Consider the following 25,256-nt stretch of genomic DNA (forward strand, 5'->3'; position numbering starts at 1 on the left):
TGATAAAGAGGAGTGATGGACACAATGTACCCATTAGTCCTGACAGTCCCAAAGCAGACGGCAGAGGGGAGGCTGTGTGCTGTGGGGAAGGGGAAGGCCGCCTGCCGAGATCACAGTGAGCTCTGTGGACATCTCTCTACTCCTGCCATGACAACAGGGACATGAGGGAGGCGCTGTCTTAGCCAAACGACAGGTGCTCTGGGGCTCCCTCCTGTCTCAGAAACACAGAACTCCTTCCTCTCTATTCCTTTTTTTCAAGTAGTTAAGCACTAGATGAAAACTTACAAATTCTTGTCCTTTTTTCTCTTCTTCTTCAGGCAACTAGCCTATGATCTCGAGACTCAGCGTCTTAATTCATCTACACAATATCTAGTGCTTAATTAAGATCCGTAATAAGCAAAAAAGGAAAGAAGAAAGGGTAGAGAGCAGCTGATAACAAGATGGCTTATTCAGGATACCAATTAACATTATCACAGCACACAGCTTTGCTTTACTTTATTAACATTCCATGAAACAATATTAACAAGAACAAAACCTCCCAATAGCTTTATGCCTACAGCACCATCAAATAAACAAATTGAGAAGTCACAGTCAGGCATTCCAAAACAAACTGATACTGATTATTTTTAAAACCAAGTATGAAAATTCAACTCTAGTAATATCATAACTACCACAATAACTCAACGTTACTTTTTAAAAAAAATACTGTTATTTCTACAGCAAAGCACTTCTTGGTGCTGGCTGTCATGTTTTTTTGCATTAACGGTACAACTGAGCTCAGAGTAAGCCACACTGACACCCCAAAGATTTCTGCAATGCACACCACACATCCCAACACACACTAAGAAAGCGCCGCCAGCAACTCTGTGATCAATCAGCAATGGAATTTGTATTTTTTAAAAAGTCTTTTAGTCTCATTATTCTGGAATTCTTTTTAATAGCAAGAGTAAAACAATAAACTCTTTACTTTTGTTTTATAAATTAAAATAGAAAGTAACTGTTACAACAAAACACACTAGTCATAATACTAGATTAAATAAAATCCAGGGGATGGTTTCTCTTACCTCCTATTTCTATTTTCTGAAGAAATGGTAAGTCGTGATTTTTTCAGTCTTGCCTTCCTACACATATTTCTAAGCATACCCTACTGAAGCTCACAATTCTTAATCTGTATTAGTCAAAATGTCCATTTTGCCATAGAACCATTTATGTTATAAACATAAATCATTTAGCTCTTTATTTTCCACCTGAAACAGTCCACAGTGGCTAACCAGCAGCAAACAGCAAAATCATAATTATCCTAACACATCACTTAAAGAGTTTCACTGAAAAGATTTTAGACAATCTACCAAACGGATGATAAACAGTGCATGGCCTACCAAAATGGTATGTAAAAAAATTATACTTAGCATTAGTTATCATAACATCCTCCATCCTCTCCAGGTCCAATCCATCTCTTCTCTGTAACATTTCTATGCCAGTGAGGTGTTTTTACTGATTTTGGCTTGGCTTCATTTTATAATACATTTAGCCATCTAGCAAGGGTTTCCTTTTCAACTTCTTTACATATAATCAGCCACTTTTAAATTTGAGGAGCCAAAGGATTTATAAAGATTCTAGAAAGACCTTTTTTACTTTTCCTACTGTGGAAGGGGAAAGTGAGAAAGGCTGTATTTTTGGATTTTGTTTTGTTTTGATTAAAGTCAATTCAAAATTCTTCAATTCATGGGGCACTACATTTTACCCTTCCTGGATGTCAGCCTCCTTATCTGTGAAACAGAAATGGTGGCTACCTGAGGCTGAAACAATCCTACACTGCAGGGAGCAGCTTGACACATACTCTTTACAACTCAGGCATGTTTATTGCACAGTAGCATGATTATCCAAATAAGACAAATTTATTATAATATTTACTGCTTTAAGGAAACTTTATAAAGCTGACATTGTTGACTAAAGTTTATAACTCTGAAATTAAACAGGTTTAAACATTAGTTTTAAGTAAGTTAGAAGAATAAAAGACATATGTAGTTCCAGTCTAAAAGTTTATCTGTATCGAATTATATAATGTTACTGACAAGAATCCTCTAGAACAGATACAAACTGAAATTCCTGGATCGAAGGAAAAAGCTCTAAAATATTATGAACATTTTTGGGGTGATGATTTAAATTCACTATTTGTAACTGAAGAAAGTAGGTAGATACCTGTTTCTCAGCATTTCATAAACTAACCTTCTATTTTATACCTACTCTTGAATCATGATTCTGAAATGCAGTTCGTTATTAATTATCTGATCTTGTTGGCGGGAGACTGGCTTTTCAACATTTGAAAACTACTTAAGTAAAATTAAAGAAAATTTACCTATACTATCTGTTAAACTATATCATTACTCTTTTCTTCATTGGTTCTTCAAAAACCATCAGTAATTAAAAATTAAATTTTAAAGTCATATGCTTAAAACATAAACACAGTTGGCAGTAGAGAGGTGTCTAGTCCCTTAGTGGCCAAAGTCTCATAAAGAATGGGTCCTGCTAGGTTACAGCTCATCTCAGCCAGGGTCTGCAATAACCCTCTCTTCACCAGGGAAGTTCTTTTATTACTCTAAAGTGTTCTCCTCTTGTAGCAGCACAAGATTCAGAGAGGTTTATATTTTTTCTCTTCAATTATCTATCTTTTTGAAATTAAAAAGATTTTTTTATCCCCGTCTAAATATGTAATATAAACATACCATTTAGTCGTCTCTGGAGTGCTTCTTCCTCTAAGGTAATGATATAAATTTGTTCATCCAGGTCTTCAAGAATCTAAATTTAAAGATAAAACTATTCAATAATTCAACGTTATAAAACGAATGCTTATGAGACCATTTAGGCTATTTGGTCAATTTATTTTAGGTAACGTATTCATTCAAATTTCTAAGAACACAAAACAAAAAAACTCCAACTATGTTATTTATAAATTAAGTACAAATACTTTAGTATATAACCAAACACATCAAAAGTTATCACAAACCCTATATACATTTAAATTGGATATTTTTAAAGTTTAAGGGATTAAACTAAGGAACTCTTCTCAATGGCCAACAAATGTATGAATTTTGGGGTTTTTTAGTGACATTCTGAGATGTGGGCTACATGTATGAATTTTTTTATTATTGTTTGTTTGTTTGTTTGAGACAGTCTCACTCTGATGCCCAGGCTGGAGTGCAGTGGTACGATAATCTCAGCTCACTGCAACCTCTGCCTCCCGGGGTCAAGCGATCCTCCCACCTCAACCTCCCTAGTAGCTGGAACTACAGGCACACACAACCATGCCCAGCTAATTTTTGTATTTTTAGTAGAGACGGGTTTCACCGTGTTGACCAAGCTGGTCTTGAACTCCTGACCTCAGGTGATCCGCCTGCCTCAGCCTCCCAAAGTGCTGGGATTATAGAAGTGAGCCACCACACCCGCCCAGCCTACATGTACCAATTTTAAACAGCCAAAAAGCTAACTACGGTAAATAACTACAGTAAATATAGGCCCAAGCCAATATTTTAGAGATAGAAGGAACAGACACCCAGTCCAACATTTGTTTTCTCATTTACATTTACCTACATAATGTCTAAAACAAGAAATCCATAAACTACATCAGTAACATGCAACACTTTCCATTTATATCATCTTTATGTACTAAAAACACTCCATGAATATTAAAGATTGGTATTATCAAAATCATCCAATAGACCAAAATCTAGAGAAGTGGTATGTTTACATACAAACCAAGTCAAACAACAGTAGTTCAAAAGAAAAAACCATACTAATAATTTACCAATTGTATGGGATATTGTCTGCACTGTTAAAAATCCTAAAATTGATTTAATTCTAGTTTTGTTAACATAGCTATCCTTCTGAGAGGATCCTTATTATCTTCGTAGCTGTAGGGCAAATCTCAAAGAAGTCTAGAGCTGATATCAGTGTTCCATATCCTCACATCCAAACTACTCACACTCAGCAAAAAAAATAAATTGTGAGGAGCTAATGGACAAAAAGACAGAAACCATATATACATCTCCTTTCAGACTTTAAAGTATTTTCAGAAAACAGATTTTCAAATCATGCAATCCCTGTCAGATGTCCAATTTATACAGCTGATGTGAAATTTATTTGAAGCAATCCAATAATTCCCAGCCTTTCAACAAATCTTTACGGTCCCCTATGACCTAGCACTGAACTCATCACTGGCACACATACCAACTCGATCCTTGAGAAGCCTGACTTGGAAGGTGAGAAAAAACAAATACTAAAATAATAATCAACAGTAATAAACAAATAAATATACAAACAAATAATGACAAAGAATGACCATCCTATGAGGAAGAAAGGAATAGGAAGAAAAGGGGAAGAGATACCTAAATGGCCAGCCAGCAAGCCCTCTCCAAAGAGGGAACATTTAGGCTGAAATGAGTGGCAAGTGCTGGAATGTGAGCTACTCCCGAGGAGAAAGAGTGGTACACGGAGAGGATCTCCTGGATGCAGTGGGTTAGGGGAGAGGAATCCCAGAGAAAACCCACATGTCTGGGACCAGGTCCTTGGGGGCCTTGATCCAAAGTTCCTTTCCCATCAACACTTCTTTTCACTTTCTACTATCTGGATCAGAATTGACAGTTTTTACATAAGGTCTAAGGCATACAAAAGGATTTTTATCTTTCTTATGCAAATTGTCCAAGAATTACTTATCACCACGGGTATGTCTTAGTGTGAATGAGTGACTGATGTAGTTTGGATATTTGTCCCTTCAGAACCTCATGTTGAAATCTGATCCCCAGTATTGGAGGTGGGACCCTGTAGGAAGTATTTGGGTCATGGGGGTGGATCTCTCATGAATAACCGATTTGGTGCTGTCCACACAGTAATAACTGAGTTCTTGCTCTATTTGTTCACATGACAGCAGGTTGTTTAAAAGAGTATGGACCTCTCTCTCGCCTGCTCCCTCTCTTGCCCTGTGACACAAATGCTCCTCGTTTGCCTCTCGCCATGACTGGAAACTTCCTGAAGCACTAGCCAGAGGCAGGTCCCAGTGCCATGCTTCTTGTACAGCCTGCAGAACCATAAGCCAAATAAACCTCTCTTCTTTATAAATTACTCAGCCTCAGGTTTATACCAATGCATAATAGACTAATGCAGTGACAATGTAAATAACACACATATATTTGTGTTAAGTTCTTATGAGCACCATCCTCCTTGATTTCTACAACAATCCTACGAAAAACAGACTGTTCTCATCTCCATTTTATATTCCAAGAAGCAGGGTTACCAAAGAAATGTTACGTGCCTTCAAACCCTATACTCAACTACTATGGGCTAATGGGGGCTTAAATATGGGTAAGACATAGTCCTTGACCTCAAACAGCTGATATTCTAGTGTAGCAGAAGAGAGCAGATGAATTTAAAAAATAATTAGAAGATTTGTTAAAGTCATAACCGTGGCTTAAATAAAACATTACAAAAGTTCAAAGGAAGAAAAATTATTCCCAGATGGGGAGACAAAAGTTTCGACCAGTGTTTTTGATGGTAGTAGCATAGTAGCATCTTATCTGACAGCTTAAATTACCAAAAGAAAGGCATTTCAATTAGAGGAAACTGTAAGCAGAACACAGAAGTGGAGGGGTAAAGTCCACTCAGCAAACAAATCGGTTTTACAGCTCTGGAGCTTACAGCAAAATAGAATGGCAGACCAGCTTCTGGTATGAAACCAGCCTCTTGGGTTCACACTCTGCCCCCTCATAGATCTCTGATCTTGTACAAGCTACTTAATCTTCCTGAAATGACATTAGTTTAGCCATAAAATAAGAATACTACTATCTAACTTATAGGTTTGTCATCAGGATAAAATGAAATTATGTGTGTAAAATATAGTGTTTATTGCTAGCATATATAATACACTCAATTACTCAATAAATAATCTTTATTACTGAATGTTACCAACAAGAAAAGAAACAAAGACAAGACTTTGAGGATACTGTTAATGTTAGAAATGCAAAATGCTCGTTCCCTGGTGCTGCAAAGAAATAGCACTCGAACATAAATTTAATTTTCTCAGCAAGGCAATTTTTACTTCTATAGAAGGGTGCGACTGGCAAATGGAGTAATGGAGAGAGCACACCTGCACAGGGGAGGGGAAGGAGTTCTTATTTCTGACACAGGGCCCTACTAGTGTGTCGTTCCCCTATTGACAATGGTTGGACCACACAGTCTAAGCTAATTCCGACTGGCTATTTTAAAGGGAGCAGGCATATGAGCCAGAGTGGCAGGGTGACTAGTCTAGCAGGAAGGACAGTTAGGAACAGGTAACTAAAGATGACTTAGGTCAAAGCAGGTGACCAGGGGTGACTCAGGTCAAAGAAGGTGACCAGGGGTGAGTCAGGATGGAGCAGGTGACCAGCGAACAGATGTGAAATACTGATTAGGACTGGTGGGAAAGTTGTTTACTGAAACCAGAGGCAAGGGGGAGAAGAGAACCAGGAAGTTAAACTTTAAAATGGAGAATCGAAGAAGAAGAGAGCTGAACACACTGACATACTGATTCTTTGAGGAAAAACTTGGGGTTCACTATATTTAACATTAATAAGAGACAAGTTAAGGAGAAAAATTAGCTTGGGGAAGGGAGCTAAGTAAGTAGTTTCGTTTTATATACGTTGAGTTTTCAGCTCCATGGGGTATTCAATTATAGCACTTAAAATGTACTGGAATTTGTTTCCATTGTCTTTTCCTCATTAGAATTAGGCATTTAAAAGTGATGTGGAAATGGCAGAGATGGTTTAGGAGCAGAGCATTAATAGAAATTTAGACCAATGATGGAACTTTAAACATTTGCCTATAGTTAGGGGTCAGGAAGCAGAAAAGGAGAAAGAAGACCAAACAAACAAACAAACAACAACAAATGTAGGAAGAAACTAAATGAATTCAATGTCCCAAAACCTCTTTACAAGGGAAAGGAATTTCAAGACTTGGCAGCATGTGTGTGGTACACAAGTGTGTATACAACATTTACATACTTTTTGTAAAATGTATTTACGCATTTTTTAAAAATAAAAAATTAAACTTCATCTTTAAAATATAAAAATATTATGATTTTCAAAATTAAGCAAGCATTTACTAAAAGTATAGCCCCTATAACACTTCCTCAGTATTTTCCCTAAATGAATCATGACAAGGAAGACAAACACATAACTATAACGATTTAATAAGTATTACTAGTGAGACAGAAACAAAAGGGAATATGAGAAATGCAAAGAAAGGACTTTAATTCTTTGTCCTTGAAGAAGCAAGGCAACGTTCAAAGCTATGTAGACAGTGGAGCTGATATTTGAGCTAGGCCGTAGGAGGCTGCTAGGTAGCTGGAGCAGGTAAGAGGCCTTGAAGGGAAAGAGACAGTCCTGGAGACAGAATGCATAGAGCCTATTCAGAGCACAGCAAGTTCGCTCATGAGCTAGAGTGACAGTAAACACAGGGACAGCTAGAGGAAAACTGAGTGTGGACCAGGCTGTGAAAGGCTTTGTAACATGTAAGTAGTTTACTCTTGAGTTCATAGGCAGTGAGGATCCATGAAAATAAGTGACAGATTTCCTAGGGGCAGCTAAGAAATCGTTTTTATATAATTAAATATCTGACAAAATAGAGACCAAAGAAAGCGACAAATCATTAGAATTACAATCAACTGAAAATCATTTAAAAACTAATATATAGTGTTTCTAAGATGAAAGGTAAAGTATGCTTCAATTAATCGAGACACAATATGCAGACAAATTTTCAGAAATATAACCATTTTGTAAATTAAAGCATACATGTAAATTTTGAAACATAATAGAGGTACTTTTTGATATTAGGCAATGGACACCTAAAATACCTGTAAATATTTGTAAATTTTGTCCTAAAATTTGCTAGAGGAATTTTTACCTATGCACCTATAGTTAGTATTTTAAAAGCAAAACCAAATTTGGTTTCCAAAGACTGGAAATTTAACCAAAGTTCTATTAAACAAAAAACTTAATAGGCCAAGTGCGGTGGCTCACGCCTGTAATCCCAGCACTTTGGGAGGCCGAGGTGGGCAGATAACGAGGTCAGGAGATTGAGACCACCCTGCCTAACACAGTGAAACCCCGTCTCTACTAAAAATACAAAAAAATTAGCCGGGCAAGGTGGCAGGGGCCTGTAGTCCCAGCTACTCGGGAGGCTGAGGCAGGAGAAAGGTGTGAACCCAGGGGGCGGAGCCTGCAGTGAGCCGAGATCGCACCACTGCACTCCAGCCTGGGCGACAGAGCAAGACTCTGTCTCAAAAAAAAAAAAAAAACTTAATAAAACAACAATTTGAGTGATAAACATACAAAACATATTCTTCTTCTATTTCTAAATGCTAGCTCACAATATCAAAGACAATCAAATGTAAACACATTTATTTAATAAACAAAATGATTTATAATTAAATACTTACTGTTGGCTTCACTAGCAACTGACCCATCACTGTGAACATACGAGAAAGGCCAACTGGTGTACACACTGCAGAAATAAGATCACCAAAAGACAGAAAGCGACATTATAGAGCTTGGAGAAAGAGATAAACAACTAGACTGTAAAAATAAGGGAAATTCAAGGATTATCATTTTAAGAACATTCTTCTCTCCAACTGAGATTGTCAGTGTTTTGTCAGAGAACTCTTCACCATCATCAATAAAGAAGCTAGAGGGGCCATGTGAGCAGGATAGGTGTAATTAGTTATGAAAGATATGTGACAACAAAAAAAGGCTTAGAATAATATTCAAGATTCTAGCAGTTGAATAATAATAAATACTTTTGCTTAAAATAAAGAAAAATTAGCAAAGAACAGGTTAAATTTCAAGTATTAATAGGACTGAGAAACAAACAAGAATATCTAAAGGTGACAACCATAGTCTTAAGTCCTTTAAACTACATTTATCTACTTATCCCTGAGATAGGCTGTGATGCTTCAAGTAAAACAAAACAAACTTTTAAAAAACCACAAACTTATCATACATAATTCTACCATTTCCATTTAAAAGTAGAATCTAGCATTATGACAGGTATGGGGGTGAGGCTATAGCATGTGTGTATGAGTGTGCACATGGTTTGTGTGTCAGTGTATGTAAGTATGACTGTATATGAGTGTGTGAAAGTGTGTGAGTGTGAGTGTGTGTGTGTGTGTGTGTGTGTGTCTGTCCGTCTGTCTCACTCTACAACCCAGTAGAAGAAGCTTTCCTTAGAGAACAATAAAAGCATCTTATTATTTCAAAGTTTCCATTTATCAAAATTTATTTTGAATAAAAATAGTTAAGGCGAACTCAAAAAAAATCCAAATAGTTAAGAAATCTCATCAGAAAACTTCCCTGAATTTTCCAGAATAAGGACAACTCTACTTTTCTCTTAATATCAAGTCTGAAAAATACTTACAGAGAAGTAACAAACATCCCATCAATGATATACAGGAATATAAATAGGGTAGATAGAACTCCCAGAGATCTATTAAAAAAAAGTAAATATATTTTAATAAATCCAAAATACTGCACATTAAGATAGTCAGTCTATCTTACGATAAGATAGAGGCTGACTGTACCTCATGTAAACATTGTAATTGCCTATTTTAGTTTATTAAGCCATATAATTTCTAAATTGTACAATAAAAAGATCTAAAATAGAAAACCAAGAAGTAACCCTTTAGCAAAACCTGTCTGGAGGGAGAAAAAATGTCTCCACGGAATTTGAAGAACAGAAACCAATTAACAAAAACAAAAAAAAAAAATCTGAAAAGCTGCTTACTTGTTCTTCACATATAAAATAAATAAAACTTCATTTTTAGATAAAAATATCTAAAGATTTCTTAATTCTGTAAATTAACATCAAACATCTTTGTTAACTACACAAAGATTTAAATGTTTTTAAAATTGAGTGTGTAATTATATCCCAAACTACAGTTTCCAGTAAGGAAACTGGTTAAAACAAGGAAATCCATACCATATAAAGATTCCATGCTTGCGGCATCGTTGTCAATGAGTGCTGAAGCTACCCACACTATCCCAAGAATGAGTAACGCAAGAAGAAGAAGCATGACCAAAGTCTCTAAAATGCGGGCTCGGATTCCCTGAAAAATAGAGTAGAAATATAATTTTAGTATTTTACTTCATTTCATGAACAATAAGGTTTCTGCCTATATGAAAGCATAAAATAATCCCTTGGAAGGAGAGGAAATTTATATTTATTAAAAGGAAAAAAACACTAGGTACTTATGGTTTACAATGTTTAGACTGACTTTTCAAATTATGGAAAATATTATTAAGCTTGGATAAAACACAAAAAAAATTCTTCATAAAAAACATCTGCAGAGCCATTTTTAACAATTACTTTCCTAACACTTTCCACTAACAAAGCAGATTAATGAATTTCTATCCGTGATTCTAATCAAGGGAATAGAAGGCTAATTATGGCACAGAGCCAAACAGTTCAGTGAGCACTGAACTTGGTGCGCCACAATGCTCCGAGCTGCTGGAGAGCGCCGGCTCTCTCTAGCATGGACTCTGGTGCTCCTCACAGCCTCCGGAGCCCTCTACTGTGCCGCTGAAGAACTGTCCATTGTAATCCAGCATTATAAACTATAGAGATACTGCTTTTATCAGTTCTATATGATGCTTTTCTTCACATTATATAGAATTTTCATTAATCCATGAGACAAGAATATAATAATATAATCATTATGCACAACTTTGTTTTAAATGTAAAACAAATTCTGACTTCAGGACCAAACTAAAGGCCAGACTTTTAAAACTTAAAAACTGCAGGATAAGACAAAAAAAGAAACCGCTTTTACTCCCCAAAAAATCACCCAATGATTGAATCTGCACCTATAAGTTAAAGCATCATATTGATATTTTGTACTGCAATGCACTAACCTACAATTATCTAACACAACCAACAAAATTATAAATACATCCATATTTCTCAATAAATTATGTTATCTCATTCCACATTTAACATAAAAATATGAGTTATAAAATTCCAAAACATACACTTATTTCAATTTTGTCCTAAGTATTACTTTCTAGTTTCTGAATTGCAGGAATAGGATGCATTAAAATCACGGCACCCCAGTTCTTCAAATTCAATAGAAAGGAAAGAAAACGTCCTAAAAGCATGGAGAGGTATACCTAGCCCTAAATGATAACCTCTGAGGTGAAGTGACTTTTTCTTACTAGTCCTTCAACAATATCGCAGACTTACCACAAGGCTGCATTTGGCAAGTTTAAAACACTTCCTCAAATCTGAGAGTCAGCTCACCTTAAGTGTTCATAGCATGGGAGGCCAGTGAACCAGAATGAATTAGGCTTGTATTTTAACACATGAGATCTCATAGTAAGTAGCTATTAATCACAGGAGATGAAATGTGAATAGTCACAAAACACACTACTACTTTACTGAAGAGTCCTTTGAACTTCCACTTCACAACTTTCAAACTATTTAAGATGCTGATATGGTTTGCCTGTGTCCCCACCCAAATCTCATCTCGAATTGTAATTCCCATAATCCCCATGTGTCGTGGGAAGGACCCAGTGGGAGGTAACTGAATCATAGGGGTGGTTTCCCCCATGCTGTTCTCATGATATTGAGTGAGTTCTCATGAGATCTGATGGTTTTATAAGCGTCTGGCATGTCCCCCGCTGGCACTCATTCTCTCTCCTGCCACCCTGTGAAGAGGTGCCTTCTGCCATGATTGTAAGTTTCCTGAGGCACCCCAAGCCATGTGGAACTGAGAGTGAATTAAACCTCTTTACTTTATAAATTACCCAGTCTCAGGTATTTCTTCATAGCAGTGTGAGACAGAAAACAGACTAATACAGATACCAAAACATAATCTACCACCTTTAACAATGACTTCTCTCTTCCTTTCTTCCTCCTCCCCTCCTTTTCTCTCTTTCTAAAATCCTTTTTATTACACACTAAATATTTTATGGAAAGTCTATCAATAAACAGACAAAAGGAGATAAAATTATATCTTGCACGTTTATGCAGATTTGTTCTAGCGTTTGTGTTACACTCTCTCAATCCTGTCTTTCCCTGCCTCCAACCAGCCCCTAAGAAATATATGAACTAAAGAGTAGGGCTCCCAAAACAAATAACACATGCATTATACCTGTAATATACATGAGCTAAACAGTGTTAATAGTGTCTGAAGTGTTACAATATATGAACTACACAGTGTCAGCTCCTTGGAACCATTTAAAACCCACTGTCCAAAAGAAGTTGTCATTGTAATGTTAAATAATTATAACACTGTAACAATAATTTTTAGGATGATAATCAGTGTTGGGAAATCAATCACCATAAAATTTAGACTTCCTTTGATATTCTGGTAAGAACTATTTCTTAGTAATTAAACTTGTTTTCTTCAGGTATGTGCCTGGGTGCTGGGAGACAATCTCCACGGCGCTCTCACATTTCTGTACATCTCACAAGCAGAGGCAGGGACAGACCTTATTTGGAACTGTCTTCTTAAGGTCGTACAGCAGATGGCCTTGGGATTTAGAGATAGTGTATCTCTGAAGCAAAGGAGAGGTTTGTTTACTGTCTGGTAGCACAATGTTCACCTCCAAGCAAAGGTTAGACAGGGTTGCTTGCAGCCCGATATAAATATGGTGGGTTCCCCAGCTGTGATACAGGCCCACTGTGGGGCTTGGGTTCAAGGGCAACTGGCACCAAAAGGAAGCTTGTGCACTCGGTTATGTGCTGTGCATAACCAAGTCCTTTGTCTCTGACCCAGACATCTCAGGTTTACAACTAGCATCCATGAAACTCGGAGACTAACTTGTTAGTTTGCAAGCAGAATAAAATCTCAGACTTTTCACAGTTCTTGACGGTTTTTGGCAACAAGGATAGGGGACTAATAGATGGCTTTCTGGAAAAGAAAGAGGAGGGGCCCATGCAGATTGGCTTAAGGGATATGAGAAGACTCCTGGGATCTATTAATAGCAGTGAGTGTGCTCACCCAAGTGGTGGGCAAGCAGGAGGAGCAGGGACCCCAAGCAGTCCTAGCTGCTGGTGACAGTCTGCAGGCTGAGGTAAGCAGTGAGGCTGAGCCCACTGCTGGCTAGGTTGTCACTCCCTCTCCTCTGAGCGGAAGCATGAAGGAATGTCATCATGATGGTGTGAACTGTGAGCCATGCAACACCAGGTAAAAGGTCCTGTGGGTACAGCTGCTATTTCAAGGAGTCCCAAAGCTGAATAAACAGCGTCAGGAATGAGGCTGTAGACCAATGCCTAAACTGATGTCATTACAAATTTGGTTGAGCCATGAGTAGCCACTAGCCACTCAAAATGAAACGCGCCTTGCTTAACGGTGTGGGCCAGTCGCTTTTGCCATGCTCATTCAACTGTCCTCCCCCAATTCTGACCTCAGATGCTTAGGAAAAAAGATGATGGGGTAAAGTGGGGGTCTCCCTGTCCTTCAGGGGTGTAAAAGCCGTACAGACCCCCCTGAGCATGCAGGGGAACTTTAGGAAGCAGACGGACTCAAACTCACGGCTCTGCTGAGTACAGGAGCCCACGTCACCATCCTACCTGGTCCTTCACAAAGGACTGTGAAGTGACTGCACGGAATTGTTGGTGAACAATGACAAATTTTTTCTAAATAAAGAGAAATATAAATAACGATATATATAGTTATAAACTAAAATGCAATGCCAAAAAATATTTTTGAAAGATAAATCATTTAATAATTTTTTATTATCTTATACATTAAGAAGTGACATTCAGATGAGAAAAAAAGAGTTAAAGAAAAAATTCCATTTTAAATAGGGGTCATTTAAAACGATAATATTTCACTTTTTACTGACAGCAGAGAAATTAAAGTTAAATAATGCTACTAAAAACTTAAGGTTACCACTAATCTTACTAGTATCAAAATAATAAAACTAGTAACAGTAATAGTAACTAGTATCAAAAGTAATATTACTAAGATACTAGAAAACAGAACAAAAATGTAATAGTTAATATAGTAAAAAACAGAAAATCAAGTTTAGCAAAATATAAACATAACAAAATATATAAAATACGAAAACAGGAAATGATAAAAACCAAATATATCTACTATAACTATATATGCAAATTAGGTCAAAAAACACAATTAACTGTCTAAGACCTATCAAAACGAAAGTGATACTAAAAAAAGTGAAAATGATTAAAAATTATTGTTTAATTTTTTAAAAATGTACAGGAGTCTGGTTTAAATACAGAAGAATGCAAAACAAAAAACATTAAATGGGATAAAGTAGGACATTTCATATTGAAGAAATTTACTATCCACTATATTATTATGTTCTATTTCTTTAGATTAACTGGTGAGTACATAGCGCTTCATTGTTATTATTCTTTATACAATATTTAAATAAACAGAAAACGAGGCTGGGCACAGTGGCTCACACCTGTAATCCCAGCACTTTAGGAGGCCAAGGGGGATGGATCCCTTGAGGTCAGGAGTTCAAGACCAGCATGGTGAAAGCCCGTCTCTACTAAAAACACAAAGATTAGCTGTAATCCCAGCTACTTGGGAGGCTGAGGCAGGAGAATCGCTTGAACCTGGGAGGCGGAGGTTGCGTTGCAGTGAGCCAAGACTGCACCACTACACTCTAGCCTGGGCAACAGAGTGACTCGGTCTCAAAAAAAAACAAAAAAGTAAATAAATAAATACAACAGAAAACCTTTATTCATTATATTTAGCATGTTTATGCAAATTTGATAAGAAATTCATTTAGAATTTTAAAAATAAAAAATTCCTAAGTATGCCTCCATTGTGATGGGCTGCCACCACTCAGTGAATACCATCAGCTTCTGATGCAGCCAAAGGTCAGAGAGCCCAGCCTCGACATTAGGAGGGCTCAGGGGATTGAGGGCCTAACTGGGTGGTTTGGCTTCAGCAGTGGATTAGGAAATAGGGTTTCCCCCAGGAGGTATCTGCCACTTTTTCACATGAAACCTTGATACCAGGTAGCGCCAGGCAGGTTGAGCTCTGGAAGAGACCATTTTTATTTGGCTAGGAGGCCTGTTAAGCTTCTTCCATTTTACTGGACATGGAATCTAAATTGTTCCACCCCAGAAGAGGGATGCCAGGCTAGAGAGTCACATGGCCCCACAGGTTGGGTAATCCATTTCAACAAGAGCTGAGCAGCAGATTCACAGCTGTCCTTTCTCAGGAGTCCACTCGGAGGCAGTGGCAGGCAGGAGAGGCACCTGCTATTTTAGGAAATGGCCTCCTGGAGTATTTGTGAGCTATTAAGTCTCTCACAAAAGCTGAGATATTCGCTTCTCCTCCTGGGGCCCTATACTGTTTATATTGGGCCAAAGGGAAGGCACAGTCCCTGAGGCCAAGCTTGCATAGTATGATCATGTAAAACACGAATACCAATTTAATATAGAGTCAGCAGTGCAAGCTACATCACAGATGGAATAAGCCCAAACACCCTACTCAAAAAGTCACCTGATGCCAGGCTCAGTAGCTCACACCTGTAATCCCAGTGCTTCAGGAAGCTGAGGCACCACTCATTTCAGGACTGAGACTCCTTGACTCAGCAGCCACACCCATAATGCCTTCTGACTGGAGCTGGGGGCTTACTGCCCTGGTGTCATACCAACATTCCTTCGTCTTACAACAGGAGAGGAATGAACGACAGCCAAAGCACCATTCAGACTCATTACAGGTAGGAGTAATGTAATTACCAGGGGCCCTTCCTCCTCCGCCTCCCTCTCACCACTGAGTTGAGCACATCCACCACCAGATCTGAAGGTCTTTTCATATCACTAAACCTGGAATACAAGGTCCTTGTTCTTTCTCTGCACCATCCAATCTCATTGCCAAAACTGTCAGGTCTGGGGTCTGGTTCTATCCTTACAAATTAATAAGTTAGCCTGTTGCTGTTACATGGATGCTGGCAGGAGACACAAGACTCCTGGATCAGAAGCAAAGGATTTTATTACTCCGGTACAGCAAGAGGCATGAGTGCCAGCAGGTCATTTCCCCTGCTCCCAAGTCTTATGGATGGATGTTGCATATGCGACAGATCTGTGCAGCAGCTAAAGAACAGTGAGCGTGGGGAATCCACTGTTTTCACAGCACGTGGTAATAAGCCAGGCTGCTCTGTGGCCCAGAGGGAGCCATCACTTCATCCCTCAAGTTTGCTCAGAAGAAACACAACCCTAACAAATGGCCCAGGTAAAGAGCAGTCAAGACCTCACAGTCTTGGCACACCCAGAAAGAAAACGCAGGAATGCTTACGGCCCATGCAGACCGCCTCTCCTGACACACCACTCTATCAGTCTGTGACTGCCCAAGAATGAAAAAATATTAACAATGATACACAGAATCTGAAAAATAATAACAAGGTTGACTTAATAAACCTAAAGTAATCCCTTATAGGGAATATACCTCTATTTCAATCACTAAAGGAAAATTTACAAAAATGAATTTGAAATTAAACTACAAAAAGTATGTCTATCTTTTTTTTTAAGATGAGATCTCACTATGTTTCCCAGGCTGGTCTCTAACTCCTAGGCTCAAGTGATCCTCCCATCTCAGCCCCCTGAGTAGCTGGGATTACAAGTGCGCACCACCCTGCCCAACAAAATATATCAAGTTCTAAACTGCATCAGAACTACTGCATTAACAACAGAGAATAAGTCAAAATATCTGAATGCAAAAAATTAACAACAAAGCTTAAATTAAAATACACTAATGCAATCATAGGCCAACTAAAAAGTAACAAAACAAGAATACTTTATAAAAACATAAAGTGTAGAAAATCTGTATTCAGATGCTCAAATAAATGAGTTTTATTATGAAAGAAAAAATAAAAATAAAAATGAAGCACTCAACTCAAGAATTTGTAAAAGGAACAACAAAATAAATCCTAGCAAACCACAATACAGGAAGAAATAGGCCAGGCACGATGGCTCATGCTTGTAATCCTAGTACTTTTAAAGGGGGAGGCAGGAGGATCATTTGAGCCCAGAAGTTCAAGACCAGCCTGGGCAACATAGCAAGACCTTATCTCTAACAAAAATTTTAAAATGAGATGGGCATGGAAGCACACACCTGTAGTCCCAGCTACTTGGGAGGCTGAAGTGGGAAGATCACTTGAGCCCAGGAGTTTGAGGTTACAGTGAGCTATGATCGCGCTAGTGCACTCTAACCTGGGCAACAGAGTGAAATCCTGTCTCAGAAACAAATAAATAAAACAAAATACAACAGGAAATTAAAGTAAGTATAATAAAAAAGAGCAAAAAAGTAGGAAAAAATAAATCGAAGAATTCAGAATTCAAAAGAATTCTGATAAATGTCTGGCTAGAAAAATCAACAAAATAAAGTAGCAAAAACACATTAGAAATATGAAAAAAATGTAATCAAGACATAAGATTTTAAAAAGAATACCAAGTATAACTGTCAATAAATGGGAAAACAAACGACTTGAGGAACTAGAAAAACAAGAGCAAACCAACCCCAAAGCTACCAGAAGACAAGAAATAACCAAAATCAGAGCTGTTCTGAATGAAATAGAGACACGAAAAACCATATGAAAGATCAATGAAACCAGGAGTTGATTCTTTGAAAGAAAAAATAAGGTAGATAGACTGCTAGCTAGACTAATAAAGATAAAAAGAAGATCCAAATAATCACAATCAGAAGTGACAAAGACGGCATTACCACTGACCCCACAGAAATACAAAAAACCATCAGGGACTATTATGAACACTTTCATGCATACAAACTAGAAAACTTAGCAGAAATGGATAAACATACAAACATTCCGGGAAACATACAGCCTCCCAAGACTGAACCAGGAAGAAATTCAAACCCTGAACAGATGAATAATGAGTTCTGAAACCGAGTCTGTAATAAAAAGCCAACTGACTAGAAAACGCTCAGGATCAGATAAATTCATGACCGAATCCTATCAAATATTTAAAGAACAGCTGGTACCATTCCTACTGAAACTATTCCAAAAATTTAAAAATAAAGGACACCTCCCTAACTCATTCTATGAGGCCAGCATCATTCTGATACCAAAACCTGGCTAAGACACAAAAAGAAAAAGAAAACTTCACACCAATATTCTTGATAAACACAGATGCAAAATCCTCAACAAAATACTAGCAAACCAAATCCAGCAGCACATCAAAAAGCTAATCCACCATGATCAAGTAGGCTTTATCCCTGGGATGGAAGGTTGGTTCAACACACTCAAATCAATAAATGTGATTCATCAAATAAACAAAACTAAAAACAAAAACCACATGATCAGCCAGGCGTGGTGGCTCATGTCTGTAATCCCAGCACTTTGGGAGGCTGAGGCAGGTGGATCATGAGGTCAGGGGTTCAAGACCAGCCTGACCAACATGGTGAAACCCCGTCTCTACTAAAAATACAAAAATTAGCCAGGCATGGTAGCGCAAGCCTGTAATCCCAGCTACTCAGAAGGCTGAGGCAGGAGAATCACTTGAACCTGGGAGGCAGAGGTTGCAGTGAGCCAAGATCGTACCACTGCACTCCAGCCTGGGTGACAGAGCGAGACTCCATCTCAAAAAGAAAACCACATGATCATCTCAACGGATGCAGAAAAAGCTTTCTATAAAATTCAACATCCCTTCATGTTAAAAACTCTCAACAAACTAGGCTTTGAAGGAACATATGTGAAAATAATAAGAGCCATCTTTGACAAACCCACAGCCAACATCATATGGAACAGGCAAAAGCTGGAAGCATAGCCCCTTGAGAACCGTAACAAGACAAGGATGCCCATTCTCACCACTCCTATTCAGCATATTACTGGGAAGTCCTGGCCAGAGCAATCTGGCAAGAGAAAGAAATAAAAGGCTGGGTGTGGTGGCTCGCACCTGTAATCCCAACACTTTGGGAGGCCGAGCTGGGTGGATCACCTGAGGTCAGGCATTTGAGACCAGCCTGACCAACACAGTGAAATCCTGCATCTACTAAAAATAAAAAAATTAGCTGGGCGTGGTGGCAGGCACCTGTAGTCCCAACTACTAGGGAGACTGAGGCAGGAGAATAGCTTGAACCCGGGAGGCAGAGGTTGCAGCAAGCCGAGATTGTGCCACTGCACTTCGGCCTGGACGACAAAAAACGAAAAGAGAAGAGAGGAGAGGAGGGGAGGGGAGGGGAAGGGAGGGGAGAGGAGAGGCATTCATATAGGAAGAGGAAGTCAAATTATCTCTGTTTGCAGATGATATAATTTCATATCTAGAAAATCCCATAGTGTCTGCTCAAAAGCTGCTGGATCTAATAAGCAATGCCAGCAAAGTTTCAGGATATAAAATCCATGTACAAAAATCAGTAGCACTTCTATAGACCAATAACATCCAAGAATGGCCACAAAAAAATGAAACAAAATAAAATAAAATAAAATAAAAACCTAGAAATACAGCTAGTCAGGGAGGTGAAAGGTCTCTACAAGAATTAAAAAACACTGCTCAAGGAAATCAGAGATGACACAAACAAATGCAAAAACATTCCATGTTCATGGATAGGAAGAATCATTGCTAAAATGGCCATACTGCCCAAAGCAATTTACAGATTCAATGCTATTCCTATCAAACTACCAATGACATTCTTCACAGAATTAAAAAAAACTACTCTAAAATTCATATGGAACCAAAAGAGCCCATATAGTCAAAGCAATCCTAAGCAAGAAGAACAAAGCTGGAGGTGTCACACTACCCAACTTCAAACTATACTACAAGGCTACAGTAACCAAACGAGCATGGTACTGGTATAAAAACAGACACATAGATCAATGGAACACATAGATCAATAGAGGGCCCAGAAATAAAGCCACACACCTACAACCATCTGAACGTCAACAAAGTCGACAAAAACAAGCAAAGGGGAAAGGATTCCCTCTTCAATAAATGGTACTGGGATAACTAGCTAGCCATATGCAGAAGACTGAAACTGGATCCCTTCCTTACACCATATACAAAAATCGATTCAAGATGGATTAAAGACTTAAATGTAAAACCTAAAACCGTTAAAAACCCTGGAAAAAAAACCTAGGAAATACCATTCTAAACAGAGGCCCTGGCAAAGATTTCAGGATGAAGACACCAAAAGTAACTAAAACAGAAACAAAAATCGACAAATGGGACCTAATTAAACTAAACAGCTTCTGCACAGCAAGAAACAAGCAAACAAACAAACAAACCAACAGAGTAAACAACAAGCTAAAGAATGGGAGACAATATTTGCAAACTATGCATCTGACAAAGGTCTAATGTCCAGAATCTATAAGGAACTTAAACACATTAATAAGCAAAAAAAAAACCACACTAAAAAGTGGGCAAAGAATAGGAAGAGACACTTTTCAAAAAAAGAAATACATGTGGCCAAGAAGCACATGAAAAAAATGCAACAACACTAATCATTACAGAAATGCAAATAAAAACCACAATGACACACCACCTCATACCAGTCAGAATGGCTATTATTAAAAAGTCAAAAAAACAACAGATGCTGGTGAGGTTGCAGAGAAAAGGGAATCCTCATGTACTGCTGGTGGGAATATAAATTAGTTCAGCCATGTGGAAAGCAGTGTGGCGACTTCTCAAAGAACTTAAAACAGAACTACCATTTAATCCAGCAATCCCATTATTGGGTATATACTCAAAGGAATATAAATGATTCTAACATAAAGATATATGCACTCATATGTTCACTGCAGCACTATTCACAATAGCAAAGGCATGGAATAACCTATATGCTCATCAAGGGCAGACTGAATGAAGAAAATGTGGTACATATACACCATGGAATACTATGCAGCAATAAAAACAAATGAGATCAGCCGGGTGAGACAGCTCACACCTGTAATCCCAGCACTTTGGGAGGCTGAGGTGGGCAGATCATCTGAGGTCAGGAGTTCAAGACCAACCTGGCTAACATGGTGAAACCTCATCTCTACTAAAAATACACAAATTAGCCGGGCGTGGTGGCGGGCACCTGTAGTCCCAGCTACTCAGGAGGCTGAGGCAGGAGAATCACTTGAACCTGGGAGGTGAAGGTTGCAGTGAGCCAAGATTGTGCCACTGCATTCCAGCCTGGGTGACAAGAGCGAGACTCCATCTCAAAAAAAAGGAATGAGATCATGTCTTTTGCAGCAACATGGATGGAGCTGGAGGCCATTGTCCTAAGCGAACTAATGCAGGGATAGAAATCCAAACAGTGCATGTTCTCCCCTGTAAGTGGGAGCTAAACATTGAGTATACATGGACGAAAAGAAGGGAACAACAGACACTGGGGCCTACTTGAAGGTGGACGGTGGGACAAGGGGAAGGATCTACCTATCTATCAGGTACTATGCTTACAACCTGGGTGACGAAGACAAGCACGGTGGCTCACGCCTGTAATCCCAGCACTCTGGGAAGCCCGGGTGGGCAGATCACTTGAGGTCAGTAGTTCAAGACCAGCCTGGCCAACATGGAGAAACCCCATCTCTACGGAAAATTCAAAAATTAGCTGGGTGTGGTGGCACACGCCTGTAATCCCAGCTACTCAGGAGGCCGAGGCAGGAGAATCACTTGAACCTGGGAGGAGGAGGTTGCAGTGAGCCGAGGTCAAGCCACTGCAATCCAGCCTGGGCGACGAAGTGAGACTATGTCTCAAAAATAAAAATAAAAAATGAAGATCTTCCTAAATAATTTTACCAAATATTTTAAAAGATCACACATGCACACATACATTGACAAACTAAACAACCTCCACCTCTAATTGTAAAAAAACAGATGAATGAATTATTATACTTCCATAGCGTAAGACATTATATCTTAAATCATGGTGAATGTTCATAATATAACCTCACTGCATAAACAGTATGACCTATTTTTAAAAATACATTTAGAAAAAATATGTGAACATGGATAATTAACAGTCTTATCTCTAGAACTACAATTATAGGGAATAATTCTTCCATTATACTTTATGCTTTTCTGTTTTTTTCTGAATTTTTTAGAGTGGGTGTGTATGACTTATGTAGTAAGAGTACCAACTAATGTTCTTTTTAATTTTTAATTTTTTCTTAAGAAGTAACTTCCAAGAGACTGGAACCCAAAAAAGCTTTTAAAAAATAGATCTGATTTCAGTTTATGAGACATACTAGGCTGGTTAAGAGCCCCAATGCCAGAAGTAAATTGCTTGGGTCCAAATCCTGTTTCCACTACTGTATAACCTTGGGCGAATTACTAAGCTTTGCTGTGCCTCAGTTTCCTCCCATGTGAAATGAGGATATGAATAGCACCCCTACCTTATAGGGTTGTTATAAAGATCGAATGAGTATTATATATATATGAGTTATATATATTATATATGTAAATTATACATATTTTATACATTTTTATATATGTAAATTATATATATTTTATATATATATATGCTTAGGACAATATCTGGTTCTTAGTAAACACAATGTAATGGTTCACTATAATGACTCAAACTATTACCTTTGTCTCTGAAATTTCCAAGGCTTGGGAGTTCACATATCATTTGTGTTTCTAAATTAAATGTATGCCACCTTCTAATGCCATCCTATCACTCTCTTCCCAACTTTGTTCCCGACCATCTACAAACCTATAAGAAGCAGTCCCATCTTTCTCCATGATATGAGCACCTGGTTCACAAGTACTTCTTATCACATCCCCTGCCCTCGTAAGTAACATCCTAGCTCATCACCTCAATTCCAGTGAGATTCATTCCCATTCTACAGTAGCCACCCACACATGCATTGATCCTATTCCACCATCTCTCAGGATCACCTCTAAGAACTCCAACTTTGAAACTGCCCTCTTAGTCCACAATTTCCTGTCTTTTCTTGTCCCCTCAGTGCCCTAGCCTAGCTCTGCCTCCACATCCTCAGAACCTTCACTCCCTTGTTCCCTCCTAATCCTTCCAACCAGTCTTCTCTTCCCTGGCCTCAACCCCATGGTTCACTAGTGAATTTTGATGATGAGCCAGTATCAACAATATTCTGGAGCTCCCTGAACCTTTGGCTTCCACCAGGCCAGCTTCAACAATCCCCTGGCGCCTACTCCTTGATTCCCAGCCCTGTCAAAAAAACTTTGTATTATACAATCATGAGAAAGTTTTACTACGACATTCCAAAGTGGGCCTTCAATGCTACTTGGCAATCTTTATACTGATCTCTGGCTGACTTTAGCAATTTTCACAACTTTTTTTTTTTTTTTTGGTTTTGAGATGGAATCTCGCCTGTCGCCCAGGCTGGAGCGCAGTGGCACGATCTCGGCTCACCGCAAGCTCCGCTTCCTGGGTTCACGCCACTCTCCCGCCTCAGCCTCCTGAGTAGTTGGGACTACAGGCGCCAGCCACCACGCCCAGCTAATATTATCTCTGTATTTTTAGTAGAGATGGGGTTTCACGGTGTTAACCAGGATGGTCTCGATCTCCTGACCTCATGATCTGCCCACCTCAGCCTCCCAAAGTGCTGGGATTACAGGCATCAGTCACCACGCCTGGCCTTTCACAACATTTTTTAAAATGTTTTCCTTTCTTTTTTATCTATAATCTCATCCTCTACTTCCTTCCAACTACAATTGACTTTCCTCTACCTCAGTAGGACACAGCTGAGTGGGGTCTGTGAGTCCCTCACCTTCCCTCCTCTACACCTTAGCTACTGTTTCCATTTCTAATTCTTTCGTTCTATAAAAGAAAATACCTTGAATCCCTTTTCTCCTGTGGCCCAATCTCAGATGTTCATCTTCTCACATGTCATATCAGTGCTTCTCAAATGTCAACCTGCATCATAATTACCAAGGGGCCTGCCAGTTCCTGAGCATCAACCACAAAGTGGTGACTCAGTTGATTCTGATGAAGACGGTTCACAGATATACTGCTCAGTTTTTACCTAAGTGATCTTGCCTCTTCCAATAGCCAACAACTCTGAAGTTTATATCTTTAGTCCAAATCTTACTGCTGTGGCCAAGAACCATATACACCAACTGCCGTCTTTCATTAGACATCTCACCAGTACCTTAAACTTAATTCTAAGACCAAACTCATCATTTTATTCTCTATCTCTGCTCCTCCTTCAATATCACATACCTGAAAACATGACATCATTACCCACTTTGTTGTTTATGCCAGATACTTTGGAAACACCCTTGTCACCTACCTTTCCTGCTGAACCCCATACCCTACCCCCACCATACACCCTGAGCCTCGGTCCAGTCAAACACCAAGTGCTTCTGATTCTACTGTGTAATTACAACTCAAATTCATCCCTTCTTTTCCTACTGCCACCATACCCATCCAAGACGATGATTTTTCTATTATAGGTACACAAATAATAACAAGAACTGTCTGAAATACATACTCACATGTTTAAGCAGTCCATTCAGAAACATTTAGCCAAAAGAACTCTCTGTAGTCAATCATATAAATTGTTCAAAAAGTTATTTCAAATTAGTCAATATTTCTTTTGAAAGTCAGTAAATAACTCACAAAAAGAAATCTGCTCATTTCTAGTTATCGATCTACATTACAAGAGTAAATCAACAATACTAATAGAAAAGGCTGCCACGGTACAAGCCATCAAAATTATTTAATATGATTATGCTTGTCCTATGAAATATTAAGATAACTGATATAGTAAGAAAGAGCTGTTATTCTGACTTAATCCACTGGGAGGCTAGGATAGTTAAGTTTTCCCTTTTGTTAATTTTATTTTCTTTCTGTGATTAAATGAGACAAAACCTGTCCAACTTAAAATCAATTAAATACCACATGCGTGAGCTTTACATAAACCTTTTAAAAAGATAAATATGTTCATTAAATGCAAGGTGGCAAATTTTTTACCTTCAAAAACTTTGAGCTAGAGAGAAGAGAGATGATGAGACTATAGTCAGAAATTTCATTTGTTAATTCAGCTTCCACTAGTAAATATACAAGTACTCAAAATCTATAAGCTGTTATCACTATCTTTCTTGAGATCATAAAAATATTACCAAGCTTCAAGAACACAGCCTTTATGGCATGCCATGTGTGAGATTGTTAGACTTTTGGATGCCATTCTGACTACAAAGTAATGAAAAGCATTGTGAGCACTTTTATCACCACCATTAATCACCAGCAGCACAGCATATAAGCAAAAAATATGCCGACTGCTCATTTTTCCATTAAGGGTCAGAATCAGGAGCTAGAAAGCCCC

The 25,256-nt window shown here is 38.4% G+C and overlaps 1 protein-coding gene across 28 annotated transcripts in view, besides 4 other annotated features; it reads right to left on the reverse strand.

The window, feature by feature from the left end:
* Nucleotides 1-25,256, reverse strand: part of LMBR1 (limb development membrane protein 1) — a 224,172-nt gene that overhangs the window by 84,655 nt on the left and 114,261 nt on the right. For all 28 annotated transcript variants that reach the window (XR_007060137.1, XR_007060136.1, XR_007060135.1 and 25 more), the window contains 4 exons: nt 10,003-10,129; nt 9,442-9,510; nt 8,468-8,532; nt 2,727-2,799 (listed from right to left, as the gene is read on the reverse strand). Coding sequence is in view for 18 of the 28 variants with exons in the window: in NM_001363412.2 (NP_001350341.1) it covers nt 2,727-2,799; nt 8,468-8,532; nt 9,442-9,510; nt 10,003-10,129 (334 nt within the window). In the remaining 10 variants the exon portion in view is untranslated. The remainder of the gene's footprint in view (nt 1-2,726; nt 2,800-8,467; nt 8,533-9,441; nt 9,511-10,002; nt 10,130-25,256) is intronic.
* Nucleotides 192-251: an enhancer, noted in NCBI's record as "active region_26911". NCBI's record gives its function as "activates an Ori minimal core promoter by ATAC-STARR-seq in GM12878 lymphoblastoid cells {active_cell/tissue: GM12878}" and the evidence as "EXISTENCE:reporter gene assay evidence [ECO:0000049][PMID:35858748]".
* Nucleotides 6,249-6,543: an enhancer, noted in NCBI's record as "tiled region #13578; HepG2 Activating non-DNase unmatched - State 15:Elon, and K562 Activating DNase matched - State 15:Elon". NCBI's record gives its function as "activates a minimal TATA promoter and a strong SV40 promoter by Sharpr-MPRA in HepG2 and K562 cells {active_cell/tissue: HepG2 | K562}" and the evidence as "EXISTENCE:reporter gene assay evidence [ECO:0000049][PMID:27701403]".
* Nucleotides 11,512-14,491: an enhancer, noted in NCBI's record as "human sZRS fragment used in the reporter transgene". NCBI's record gives its function as "activates a minimal gata2 promoter in the ZPA domain of developing fins in transgenic zebrafish" and the evidence as "EXISTENCE:transgenic organism evidence [ECO:0001131][PMID:29556077]".
* Nucleotides 11,545-11,747: a silencer, noted in NCBI's record as "fragment chr7:156557905-156558107 (GRCh37/hg19 assembly coordinates)". NCBI's record gives its function as "represses an EF-1alpha promoter that drives an FKBP-Casp9 reporter gene in an ReSE screen in HepG2 liver carcinoma cells {active_cell/tissue: HepG2}" and the evidence as "EXISTENCE:reporter gene assay evidence [ECO:0000049][PMID:32094911]".

The sequence above is a fragment of the Homo sapiens genome, chromosome 7 (assembly GCF_000001405.40).
Source record: "Homo sapiens chromosome 7, GRCh38.p14 Primary Assembly".
Taxonomy (NCBI): Eukaryota; Metazoa; Chordata; class Mammalia; order Primates; family Hominidae; genus Homo; species Homo sapiens.